This window comes from Homo sapiens, chromosome 1 (assembly GCF_000001405.40).
Source record: "Homo sapiens chromosome 1, GRCh38.p14 Primary Assembly".
Classification (NCBI taxonomy): Eukaryota; Metazoa; Chordata; class Mammalia; order Primates; family Hominidae; genus Homo; species Homo sapiens.
Genome location: NC_000001.11, coordinates 50,210,458 through 50,223,748, shown reverse-complemented (window position 1 = coordinate 50,223,748; position 13,291 = coordinate 50,210,458). Strand labels below are relative to the sequence as shown.

General features: G+C 43.0%; 1 long non-coding RNA gene across 1 annotated transcript in view; it reads left to right on the top strand.

The window, feature by feature from the left end:
- The window catches only part of LOC105378711 (uncharacterized), a 52,673-nt gene that overhangs the window by 35,008 nt on the left and 4,374 nt on the right, over positions 1-13,291 (top strand). The window contains exon 9 of the long non-coding RNA XR_947315.4: positions 564-646. This is a non-coding gene — a long non-coding RNA (uncharacterized LOC105378711). The remainder of the gene's footprint in view (positions 1-563; positions 647-13,291) is intronic.

Below are 13,291 nucleotides of genomic sequence, written 5' to 3'. Positions count from 1 at the left end.
CCAACATTGGAAATTACAATTCAACATGAGATTTGGGTGGGACACAGAGCTAAACCATGTATCTAGCCCTCCTTTTTGCTTTATTCTTCTTTCTAGCATTTATAACCATTCATCAATCTATGCAGTCTACTGCCTCTCTCTAGAATGTGAGCTCCATGAAGGCAGGGATTTTTGTCTGGTTTGTTTACTGCTTTGTTCCCTGTGCCTAGAAGAGTGCCTGGCAAATAGTGGATATTCAATAAATACTTTCTGAATAAACGAATGGGCGAATCAAGACCAAATGCCTCCTTCATTTTTTTTCCTTTAATCATTCAATAAATTCTAGTTGGAGGATGGATTGGAGGGGGGAGTGGAAGGAGGGCTGAATAATTAGAATGCAATTCTGATCTCTGGGCCTCTGTTTCCCCATCCATAAGACAAAGAAGCTAAGGAGGAGACCTCGAAGGACTCTTTCAGCCCCACTATTCTATGTATTTAAGAGTATTTACCGGTAGAAATACTTGGGAGATAAAATTAATCCTCTCCTTAATCAACGGTTCCTATCTCTGCACGTGACTTGTCAGGGGAAGTTTTCTCTGATGCTCACACGATGTGGGAACTTGTCACATCTTCAATCTCCGGGAACGTCCTCACCTGAAATTGAAAGGTAAATATTTCAGTTGTGAGTCTCTCTGTCATGACTCAAATAATTTTAAAATTGCTTAGATGTCTTTGCCTAACAATGTTCAGATTGTTCTAATGCAGGGGAAAACGGTAGTTTTAGACATAGTAATATTGATAGCAGCTAGTAATTTCCATGTACTTCTCACAGTTATTGGCACTGTGAGGATTACCAAGGAGAACTTTTTACTTACTAAAAAGACATTCTATGTTGAGGGCCCAGCATGGTGCCTGGCAATAGAAGATTCTCACTAGATGGTGAGTTTTGCAATAATTATTTCCATGGAGTTGGGTTGAGAAATAGCCATGCTTCTCTCCAAGACGCTATAAAGTCATCAGGCATCTCAGCTGTTAGGGATTTTATCCCTAGAAGACCTTTTTAGACAGACAGCTCAGAGTTGGCACAATCTCCCCCTCATTCTTTCAGCAGATAGTCTCCAGTGGCTTCATGAGAATCAAACTCCATCCCTGCCTCCAAGTAGCTCCCTATCAAGTCAGAAGGACAATATAATGTGCAAGAAATACCAGTTAATGGGTGTCAATACAATAGTAAGGGAAGGTTCTGGGTGTTGCCCTGAGTTTTTAGAAGATCAAAGAAAGATGTTTCAAAAACTGTACCTTGAATCAAGCACGAATTTTGTTTTGTTACCTTCACTTACCAGTCCTAAAAGAAAAAGAAAAAATATCTAAGTTAGTAAGAAATTGTCAACATCTAAAAGGCTATAGTTTTTTTTTTAATGTGGTTATTCTTATTGTCTGTTTCCTTTTTAAGGCCAGGGAATTTTATTTTATTGTGTTAACTGCTTTGTCCCCAGCATCTAGAACCATGCTGGGTGCATAAGAAGTCCCAAATAAGTATTTGTTGGCAGATGGACTAGAACTGCCCAGTCTAGGCCACTGTGAAGAAGAAATAAAAGTGGGCCCAGTCAAGAAAGAAGCTGGAAGAGACTCCAAGGCCCATAGGCCAGTGGGATTCATAGTGATGGGGGGAAGTTGGGAGAGGGAGGAGAAAGGGTTGCAGAGATTGGAGGGGTGGCAAGATCCCAGGAAGCTTGAACTCCAGGCTAGGCATCTTGCCCTATGTTCTGAGGCCCTGGAGGGACAGTGAAGGATTTTTTTTTTTTTTTTTTTAGTGAAGGATTTTAAGCTTCAGCGAGGCCTGCTTAAACTCCTATTCCATGACCTTGTCTTTCTTTTCAAGGTTTCCAAGTTTCTTTTGTGTTTCTTGCTTTATTTGACATGTCTAGTCCTATTTGGGAGTTGTCTTGGCCAGCTGAAGTCTTTCGGTGAGTGGGAGGGATCCAGTTATCTGCTCTTCCCTTCCCCGAATCCAGTGTAACCTAACTCAAGCCCACATTTCTTCCTATAATTAAACTCAAACTCCAGCTAAATTGGGCAAATATTTTAAAATGACAACTCAAAAGGATGTTTTAGTAATTGTGTGATAAAGATGTCAGATCTTTGTCATTTCATTGCAGCAGAAGGCCATTTGGGAGGGAAGTCACTTTTTGAGATTTTAATAACGTGTGCAATTCTTGATATATATAAAAATGATGACAACTGGATGCCAGTTTCAGAGAGGATAGATCCAGCTTTGGTTTGGTGTGTCTGTGCTATCTGCCTTGTCTCAGGATCTTCTTTAGTTGATATTAACAAAACTCTTTATATTCATTGACAAATATTTATTAAGCACCTATGAGGTTTCAGACACTGTGCTAGTTGCTGAGGCCGGGGAGTCAGTGTTGGCAAGAATCTAGGTCTTTGCCATCATGGACTTTTTAGTCTAGTAGGGAAGATATGACACATGGCCATAAGATCACCACAGCAAAAACAGCTGTCTTAATTTACTATGTGTGATTTACATATATTTTCTCATTTAACTCTCACAGTAATCCATGTGGGTTGTCATTTTTGCCCCTATTTTACAAGACAAGAAAACCAACTGTCATATGGTCAGTAAGTGGTACAGTCAGGATTTGAGCTTAGGTCTGACCCCAACCCCATGTTCTTTCCATAATGCATGTGTCTTTTTTTAGAGCAGAGCTGGAGTACGTATGTGGGATGGGGATAGGAGAAGGCCAGGAATACAGTATATCAGGAGTCCTTAGAAAAGAAGAAAGAGCAAATGGAAAGTGGAAACTGGCTAACATAAGGAATGGGGAAATTGAAAGAAATAGAATTGTTGGTCTGCTTTGCAGGTGGTCAAATCACCAAGTTCCAGGAGTCTAAGGGCTTTATTTTAATGAAAGCAAGGCCCAGTGTTTTAGGGTTTCTGTCAAAAGACAGTGGTGTTGAGGTGCAGTGGAGCCCCAGACTGTCTATCCTCAGTAGAGAGAGTACTCTGAAAATGGCATTGACATAGGGAAAGGCCTTGGATAATGAGAACAGATTCCACGCAAGGGTTAGGCAAGAGGGGGAGAGAATATGAACAACTGACTAGCATACTCTTGTAAGCATTTACTGATTTCCCCTGGAGTTGCATGCAGATTCATTCCACTATCATTGACACTAGTTGCATATCGCACACATGCCTCTCCATGGATATGACCCACTCACTCTGTGGTAATCATAAGGTTGTCCACAGGGATCTCACTTATCTTCCCCTTTCAGGCACGTTTCTGCTCCCTTGTATTTAGGCATGCCCATATGACTTACTTTAGCTAGTTACATGACTGGAAGTAATACCTGCAGAAGGTAGCTTTAAGAACCAGTGCAAGATTGTTCTCTTTCCCCTGCTGTGGTGAAAGCCACTGTCAGTCAAGATAAAGCCTCCATAATCCTGGGTGCCTGAGTGACTGCAATGAGCAAGGCCTCCCTGGTGATCCACAATGGATATCTCATGAGAAATGCACCTTTGTTGTTTTAAGTCATCAAGACTCTGGAGTTATTTGTTATTGTAGCATGACCTAGCTAATTCTGACTGATATACACTCAGTCAGATTTCAGGGGGAAGATACTAAGTTCTGTTTTGGACATGTCAAGTTGACATGTCCAAAAGTACCTGTTGACATCCAGTTGAAGAGGTCTAATGGATACCAGAAACATAGGTTCAAAGGTTGAGGCTGAAGATACAGTCTCTCTGGTTCATTCAGTCAACCATCCATCAATCTACCCATTTATATTCATTTATTTAGTAAAAATTTTATTGATCCTCAACTATGCAGCAGCCATTTTACCCCACTGGCTAATGGGAATAAAGCAGTGAACAAGATCAAGGTCCCATTCCAATGCAGCTTAGTTTCTACTGTGGCAAACAGACTCTCTCTCTCTGCCTCTCTTTCTCTCTGTGTATATATATATATATATATATATATATATATATATATATATACACACACATATATATATACACACACATCTATATATATACATCTATATATACATCTATATATATACATCTATATATATACACCTATATATGTATAAAACTATATATATATGTATAAAACAACAGTAGTGGTGGGACAGGCAGTGAGAAGTGGTCAGATTTGGGGTTAGTTTTAAAGGTAGTTTGCTGATGGGTTGATGAATTAGATGTGGGAGATGAAGAAAGAGAGAAGGTGTTACTGTGAAGTCACTCATTCACTTTGGTGCTCCACCTCCATCTCATCTGCAGGATAACAAACCCTAGCCGGGAGATGCTATGGGACTTCCATCTTAGCACTTGCACACTTGGGGTCATCCTCAGGGAGCCACTTCATCCCTAGTCCTTTTCTCTCTGTTCATCTTGATTTTCTTTTTTCTGGGCTGCTCATATTTACCTTTGCCTCCTCCAAAGTATTTGTGAACTCCCTCATGCTTTTCCCAAGACATCATCTCCATGGGTTTCTGACCAGAACTTACACTGGTGGAGGTGAAGAGGGATGGTAGAGGTGCCACTGTTATAAAACAAAAGGGGCTTGCTGCCCGATGTGTTGGAAGCCAATACTATGACATCGACTTTTTTTGAGAAAAGAAAAGCTTTGTATTGAGAGTTGACTCCCAAGGAGATAGGAGTCAAGCCCAAACCTGTCTCCCTGTGCTGGCTTTAAGGCAGTATTTTTACTAGAAAAGGCTCAAGGGGGTGGATTCTGAGATTAGCAAGTAGGTGATCGGTGGAAGGAAAAGGGAGGTCGGGAAATTCCTTGGGCATGCACAATTATGTCTTCATGCTAACTCATGGGTTGCATGTGCAAATTCGGGAGGAGTTGGTATGAAATGTGGTGGCTGTGATGTCAGCAAGGTCGCTCTGCGCAAGCTCCAGTTGGGCATCTTGTTTCCAACTGATTTCAGTCTGTTCTTTCATCTCATAAGAGGAGGGAGTTTCAGTATTTTTTGACAGGTTGTTTCTTTTCTTATCTGCCATCCTGAAAACTAAGAATTTCTGTTAGTCTTTGGTTTATTTAACTCTTTGGGACATGTCTCACCACCATGAGTCACTGCTGTAGAGAGAATTTCTGAGAAGGCTCACAGTAAGGACCAAGCGCTGCTGGGCCACTGGACTCTCCTTCCCTTCAGGCTCCCAGGAGCTTCTGGCTGATCTCTCTATCCTTCACACAGTTTGGGGCCACCCTTGGTGACAACGCCCCCTACAGAAAGAATCCAAGGACAACTGACATTTCAGAGACAAGATTTAGAATCTAGAAATTCTTACTATTTGGTGGGATGTGTATGATAAGGGAGAATGGGGAGTCAAGGGCAAAACCCAGATAAAATGGGGATAATTGAAGGTGACAGTCCCTGACATGAGAACACCTCAGGAGGCAGATTTCAGGGGGAAGATACTAAGTTCTGTTTTGGACATGTCAAGTTGACATGTCCAAAAGTACCTGTTGACATCCAGTTGAAGAGGTCTAATGGATACCAGAAACATAGGTTCAAAGGTTGAGGCTGAAGATACAGATTTGTGCATCAGAATACAAACTGTACTTATAGTCATGGGATTGGGTAAAATTTCCCACAAAAGGTAAGTATAGACACCCAAGAAACTGTCTATAAAGGAATTTGAGAGAGAAGTTTTCCAGGAGAAGTCTAGAAGGAAGAGCTGGAGATCCAGCAAGGTGGTCTTTTGTTTGTTTTTAAGATGGAAGAGGTTTGAACCTTCTATAAGAAGACAGGCAAGTGAGAGAGGCTAAAGGGTTTCATTCATTCACTCATTGTTACCCATGCAGCTCTCACTGATGTTGAATTTATTCCTTCCTATTATTCAATTGAACAGACATTTTTAAGTACCCACTGAGTGCTCTGTGCTAGATTCTAGTCCCTGTCCTAAAGTCAGAGGATGGGGATAGAATGCCCATTGCTATAAGTTCCATATTATCACTCAAGGTTTGCAGTGCGTGAGGGACTGCTTTTAAATGCCATCTTGTAGGGACTTGTTGGGCAGTAGAGATTCTTGCAAGGCCTGAGCTTAGGAGGGCCTAGAATTATGGTTTGCAGAGAGAGACATATTTCAACCACAGATAGTGTCTGTCCTCTGGGGCACCCATAGAGACAGTTAAACTATGTGACATGAGGTAAATACAAGCAGTTACTAGATTTATAGCTAAGTTTGAATAACCAATCCACTCCGCTTTTAGTTGGAGTTTTAGTTGGTTAGTTTTGTCAAACCCACAATAAAACCCTGGGGTGGACCAAGAGAGTGAGCCACTCTAGTCCTTGGCTTTCTATATAGCAGGAGGTGCAGACCTTGGAATCTGGAGGAGTCTCTGGTGGCCCTCCCTTGGCCTTTAAATTTCACCCCACCCTCTCCCTCTCCTGAGGCTTTCTGGGCCTCATCTCTGTGCTGAATGCAAAAATGACCACACTTGGCATTCAAGACTCTTCATGACTTCGCTCCTGCTTACTTCTCCAGCTCCCCGATGTCTCCCAGTACCTTTCTCCCTTCTCTCTCGGTTCTTTTGCCACGCTGGCCATCTGTTGTTTCCTAGAACCCATTAAGCTCATACCTACCTCTGGGCCTTTACATCAATGTTCTTTTCCTGGCTCTTTCCACAATGTCTCATTCCGTCTCATTTCAAAGTCATTTCCTCAGGGAAAAGAGAACCCCTCTGTTGTTTTCTAAGTAGAACCTCTCAGTTATCTTATTCCATAGCACATTTTTCTTATCCCTTATCACAATCTGTAATAATTATTTTATTTATTCAATGAACAGCTGATTAATTTAGTTATACCTTTATTTGGCAAATATTTATTGAGTACCTACTAAGGGCTAGGCACTCTTTTAGGAGCTGAAGTTATAATAGTAAGCAAAATAGATACAAATCTGTACACAATGGGGAGACTTTTTAGAGAATAGTAGGAAAAAATGGAAGTAAGTGTGACTCTAAGAGATTTGGCCTGAGTGACTGAGAAGATAATGCTTCCATTTGTTGAGATGGAGAGAGCAGGTTGGCTGGAAAGGGCAAAAAGAAATTGGGTGGGTTTTTTTTGTGGGGGTGGGGGGCAAGTTTGAGATGTCCTTTAGGTAGCCAGGTGGAAATGTATACTAGACAGTAGAACATATGTCTCCAGAGTTCAGGAGATAGGTCTGTGCTAGAAATATATTTAGAAGTCATTAGAACATTAATTGTATTGAAAGCCACGACATTAGATGAGTGACCATGGGGAGTGACTGTAGTTAGAGAAGAATTCCTAGAACTCAGTCTCCAACAGTTAGAGGTCAAACAGAGGAGGTGACTGTGGGATGGCCAGAAAGGTAGGAAGAAAATATGCCAAATGGGGAGTCCCGGAAGGCAAGTAAAGAAGACTTTTCAAGGAGGAGAAGGTGATTGGCTGAGACAAATACAGTTGCAAGATTGAGTACCACGAGGACTGAGACTTGCCATTTGGATTTGGCAATGGGGAGATCACTGGTGACTTTGACAAGAGCAGTTTGGGAAGAGTAGTGGGGAAGCAGATCTTACTAAAGTTCAAGGGAGAATGGGAAAAGAGAAATTGGGCAGTGAATATCACTATACTTTAAGAAGTTTTCTTGCTGAGGGAAAATGAGAAATGGGGTAATAATAGGAGTTACGGTAAAGAGCGAGTTTTTTTTTTAAGATGGGAGAAGTAAAAGTATGTTTGTATGCTTATGGGAATGACTCAGTAGAGAGGGAATAATCTAACGATGCAGGATAAGAGAGGAGAACTGCTGGATCTATGTTCTTGAGTTGGTGAGGGGTGGGATTTAACACACAGGTAGAAGAGCAATGGACAGCTCATCCATGGTAACAGGAGAGAAGGGGGAGCAGGGGGCTAGTGGGAGTTCTCTTCTCATTACTTCAATTTCCAGTGAAATAGGAAGCTGGGTCTTCAGTTGAGAATGAAGATGAGGGAGATGAGGGAGGTGTTAGAGGTTCGAAGAAAGAGGAGAAAGTAGGAAAATACCATCTAGGGGAGAGGGAGAGTGATTGAACTAGAGAAATACAGTGTGAGCTTCAGGCAGTTTTAGGGCCCACGCAAGGCTGCTGGTCACTAACGTAAAGGGAGTCTGGTCAGCATGAATATGTGTTTTTCTCTTGCAGTGCATGTTCAGCCGTGAGGGTGCAGGTACACAGTAGATGGAGAGCTTTGGTTGAAACAAAAGAATACAATGAACTGAGGGAGGGGTGAGGAAAATGAAAGTGTACACAAGGGAAGGATGATATGTTTTATATGGAATTTAAACAGGGTAGAAAGGGAAGTGAGGACATGGTGGTGGTGAGGGACAGTAAAAGTGAGTTGAAGGTCCCAGGAGGGTTGAAGGGTTATTTTGAGTCAGGATAGTAAAGGGAGTGAGATAGGAAGTAGGTATTGACAAGAGGATGCTTGCCATTGAAATTAAGCTATTAAGCCCTACGGGAGGAGCAGGAAGGGAGTAACTGCGGTGGAAGGAGGAGTGTAGGTTGAGGAGCCGAGGTGTTGGAAAGATTGTCTTTGTGCATATTGAAATCATCAAGAATTATGACAGATGTAGTTTTGAAATCTTTGTGTGGTTTGGGATAGTATTTATGGGATATAAGGTATGTGTCTGGCACACAGTGAATTCTCAATCAATGCAGTTTAGTCAGTTATTTGTCTAATATTTGTTCAGGGCCCTGGGACTTCTCCCTCAGCGGCTTCCAACTTGTGGAGTGTTGCAGCATTGCATGGGGGATGGGGGTGGGGTTGGGAGACACAGCTGCGTCAGGAGCCTGGGCTCAAAGGTCCCTGCTGCTGGGATTGCCCCATACACAAGGGTCTGGGCCCCTCTTCTGGCTTCCGGCTGGGCTCCCACCAGAGCTGCATACGTTTGGCTCAGCGGCAGCAGCAGCAGATGGCAAAAAGTGGGTGGGCTGGGGGGTATCTGCAACTGATCCCACAGCCGCCGGATTAATGAGGCCTCATGCCCGCCTTCTTTTCTGCAGCATGCCAGCCAACAGTAGCTTCCTTTGCTGGGGTGGGTTTGTTTGTGGGAAATTTTTTGGCAGTGAAAGCCCAGCACCTGATTGAAAACTTCCTCTCCCCCTCATTTCTCCTTCTATCCTGGCTTCTATACTGGTTCTAAAGTACTCTGGGGCCTCAAGCTTGTCCCTGGGGTTCCTCCTGGTGTCAGGCTGATGAAACTGAGACCAGGTAGTCCTGCTATTACATTTACTGTTGGGGAAACTGAGACTTGGAGAATTTAATTATTCATTCAGTAGCAGGAAGCTCAGGACTCTATGTACATTTCATGCCCTCTCATGTCTAGCTACATCCCTGGGTTGGCATAGACCCCGTGAGTAAGAACGTGGATGGTTCATATTGGAGGATGAGGCATATATAAGCCTATTTGATGGGTATTGAGGTCATGGGGACAGGGGCATTGCATGGGAATCCAGATTATAATAAGGATAATGGGGACTCCTGGGAAAAAAAAATTAGGTGAGGAGAAAGTCTAGCACTGAGGACCACAGTAGCAAATGGGTTCAGGGCTAAAGAGCACTATTTGTAGGCATAGTGTAAAGCTCTTTTTAGCCTTCTCTGACCGGGCCCTGCCAGCAAATATATATTTTACTGAGTCATTAGGGATCCAAGCAACTCTGTGGTAGAACTGTTCCTTCCTTATCAAAATGGGATAAAAGAAAGGAAAGGTGGATCTTTGATGACAAGCAAGAGTGAGAGAGCAAGAGGGCGGGTTGGAGAGTTGGGGAGAGAGACAGGAGCTCTAGAGATGTGGAGGTGGGCAAAGATGTTGAGATATTGTAGTCAGTATGATGGCAGGAACTGAGGCTCCAAGGAGCACTGGGGGTCAAAGATAGATCAGTGCTACTGGATGGGTGGCCCAAGAGGAGTCTTAGATGCATGGCAGACTAATGCAGGCAGCAATAATTTGATGAAAATCTGGAGGCAGGTGGTTATGGAGCTTCTGGCAGTGGAGACACGTGGAGGAACGTTGGAAATCTCAGTGCATAGGCAATGGTCAAGTGGGATAGAGCAATAATCAGACTTTGAACCAGAGAGAGAGAGTTGTGTAACATTTTGTTACACAGCAGTACACACACGAAAATGTTTGTATGGCCCAGCAGGGTAGAGGGATGGGCTGTTTGGGGCCAGAGATGAATGGCTTGGGGACTCTAACAGCACAGGGCCCCACCTGTCTGATCAGAGGGTTGAAGAAATAAATTAAGCACATTAATAAAGAATGTGTTCATTTGTTGGGAAGCTCTTCAGTAAGGAGTGTATTTTTCTCAAATAATAAGATGTTCAGAGGAGATAATCCAGGGGCTATTGCAGCCTAGGGACACCATTGAGGGCATAGGCTTTCCAGGTGTTTCTAGTCTGCCATTCATGGTTTTTGTCTGTTCCTTCATAGTTGCAATATGGCACATGCAGCTTTAGATATCACACCAGCATTCCAAATGGGAAGAATGGAGAGGGAAAAGAAGGCAATGGCAAAGGGAAAACAGTGTGCCAGTTGAGTTTGCTCCCATTTAGGGAGCTTTCCTAGAAGACTCACAAGGGACTTCTTACTTCTCATTGGCCAGAGCTGTGTGATGTGAAAGATGTTTTGTAGCTAGACATTTTGTTGCCCTAAAAAAATCAGGATTCTGTTAGTAAGGAAGAAGAGAGTTAATAGGAGTAGGCCTGTGACAAGCACTGTGTTGTATTCGGGGAACAGGTAGTAATTTTGCAGAGCTGGACCACAAACTGTGAGGCAGGAAGAGGAAGGGGATGAGGCTGGTTAAGCCGCCAGAGCCTAGATGATACAGGGTCTTGTAAGTCATGCTCAGGAGTCTGGACTGTATCACCTGGGTAACAGGAATTCACTGATGGGATTTAGGTGGGCCAATGATTTGGCCAGATGAGTGTTTTAGATAGATTGTCCTGACGGAGGGGGTGGGTGGAGTTGCAGAAGGTGAGGAGGAAAGGTCTCGTATAAGGATAGTGTCTGAATCCTTGTACATAGAAGGGATTCAGTTAATAGCCTGTGAATGAGGTGATAAGACTTAAATCAGGATAGTGGCAATAAAGAGGGGAGGAGGGGATGAATTTGAGAAATTTTCAGGAGAATTAAAATTGTTAGGGTTTGGTAATTGATTAGATGGTTGAGGGGAGGGGAGGGAGTTTAGGAATACTCCTGGGTTTCCCACAATTAATTGAGATGTGGAACATAAGAGAAGGAGCAAGTATGGAGTATATAATTTGTTCAGAATCATATGCAAAACTGAACCCAGGAACTGGGTCAGGAACCTAGATCTCCCAGGCCACTGTTCTATTAACCTAATTTACATTCCATATTGTCTCTTCTGGAGCCCAGCATGACAGTTCACTGATATCTTTGGACCCACTGATTTTTCTCCCCCTCCACCATCCACCAAGTCCATGAGATCCAGGAATGATGATGTTAATATGGTGGTGGTAGCTTGCTTCCTGAGGGCCCAGAGTGGTCAGCGTGTGCTAAGAGGGTAGATACAGTGGCCACCATTAACTCTGTTCCTATTCTCACCGATGCCAGGAGCCAGGGAGGGTCTGGACTGAACATTGGCTTCTCCACACAACTATCCTTTTTCTAACTCCTGCTTTATGCTTGGCTGATGTATTAGTTTTCTATTACTCCTATAAAAACTTACCACAAATGTAGTGGCTTAAACAATGTAAACTTATTTTCTTATAGTTCTGAAGGTCAGAGGTTTAAAGTCAAGGTGTTAGATGGGCTGTGTTCCTTCTGGAGGTTTCAGGAAAAAAAGTCAATTTTCTTACCTTTTTCAGCTTCTAGAGGCCGAATGCATTCCTTTGCTTATGGGTCCTTCTTCGCATTACTACAGTCTTCTGGTTCCATTGTTGCTTCTCCTACTACTGACTCTGAATCCTCCCACCTCCCTTTTAAAAGGATTCTTGTGATTACACTGGGGAATCCTGGAAATGGTACCTAACCTGGTCTGAGAGGTAGAGGAAGGAGCTCCAGGGGGGAGGATATTCATGTTGAATTTTGAGGTATGTGTAAGAATTAGCCAGATGAATAATAAGAATGATAGCAATAGTAATAGCAAACATTTATATATATATCCACCTGGATAATCCACAATAATCTCCCCTTAAGATCCTTAACTGAATTACATTTGTAAAGTCCCTTTAACCATTTAAGGTAAAGCAATGGTCTGAATGTGTATGTTCCTTCAAAATTAGTAAATGTAAACCTAATCCCTAATGTTGTATTATTAAGAGGTGGGAACTTTGGGAGGTGAGTAGATCATGAGGGGTCCACCCTTCTGACTGGTATTAGTGCCTTTATAAGAGAGGCCTGAGGGAGCTTGGTCACCCCTTCTACCATGTGAGGACACAGTAAGAAGGTGACAACTATGAGACAGACAGCAAATCCTCACCAAACATCAAATCTACTAGTGCTTTGACCTTGGACTTTCCAGACTCCAGAAATGTGAGCCCTACATTTCTGTTGTTTGTAAATTATCCATTGTAAGTTGTTTTGTTATAGCAGCCCAAATGAGACAGCCAGGTGAGAGGAGGTCCGTGGAGAAACTCTATCCAGCCTGCCCATTTGAGGAGGAGCCTGGGGAAGTTCCCGACATTTGCAGCGGGGAAGAGCCTGGCCCCTCCTCTTCCTGTGTGGGACCCGGGATTCAAATGGCCAGGTGGGAAGTGCTCTAGCAGGGACTCTGGCCTTGTGAGAGTCCCTGTGCCCCCTTTACTTCCACTTCACCCAATAAAACCCTGTCTTACTCACCATCGAAATTGTCTGCCAACCTGAATTTTCATGGCTGTGGGACAAAGAACCCTGTCTTTAGCTGAACTAAGGAAAAGTCCTGCAACACAAATAGACTAAGACAGATACCATATTCACATGCCCTGGGATTAGAATGTGGACATTTTTAGGGGGCCATTATTCAGCCTACCACAGCTGCACACCTTCACTGGCATTCTTTTTGTGAACAATCTTGTACTGATGAATAGGGCACAGTTCTTGCCATTGATGAGCTTATGGTTTAGGGGAGAAGGCATAGAGGTAGACAATAAACTATTCTACAGGGTAAGAGAGGACTTTGGGAACACAGAGAAATGGTTCATAACTTGGTCTGAGAGGTTGAGGAATGAGCTCCGGGGAGAGGATATTCATGTTGAATTTTGAGGCATGTGTAAGAATTAGTCAGATTAATATTAAGAATGATAGCTATAGTAATAGCAAACATTTATATAGTTATTACTATCTGCCAGG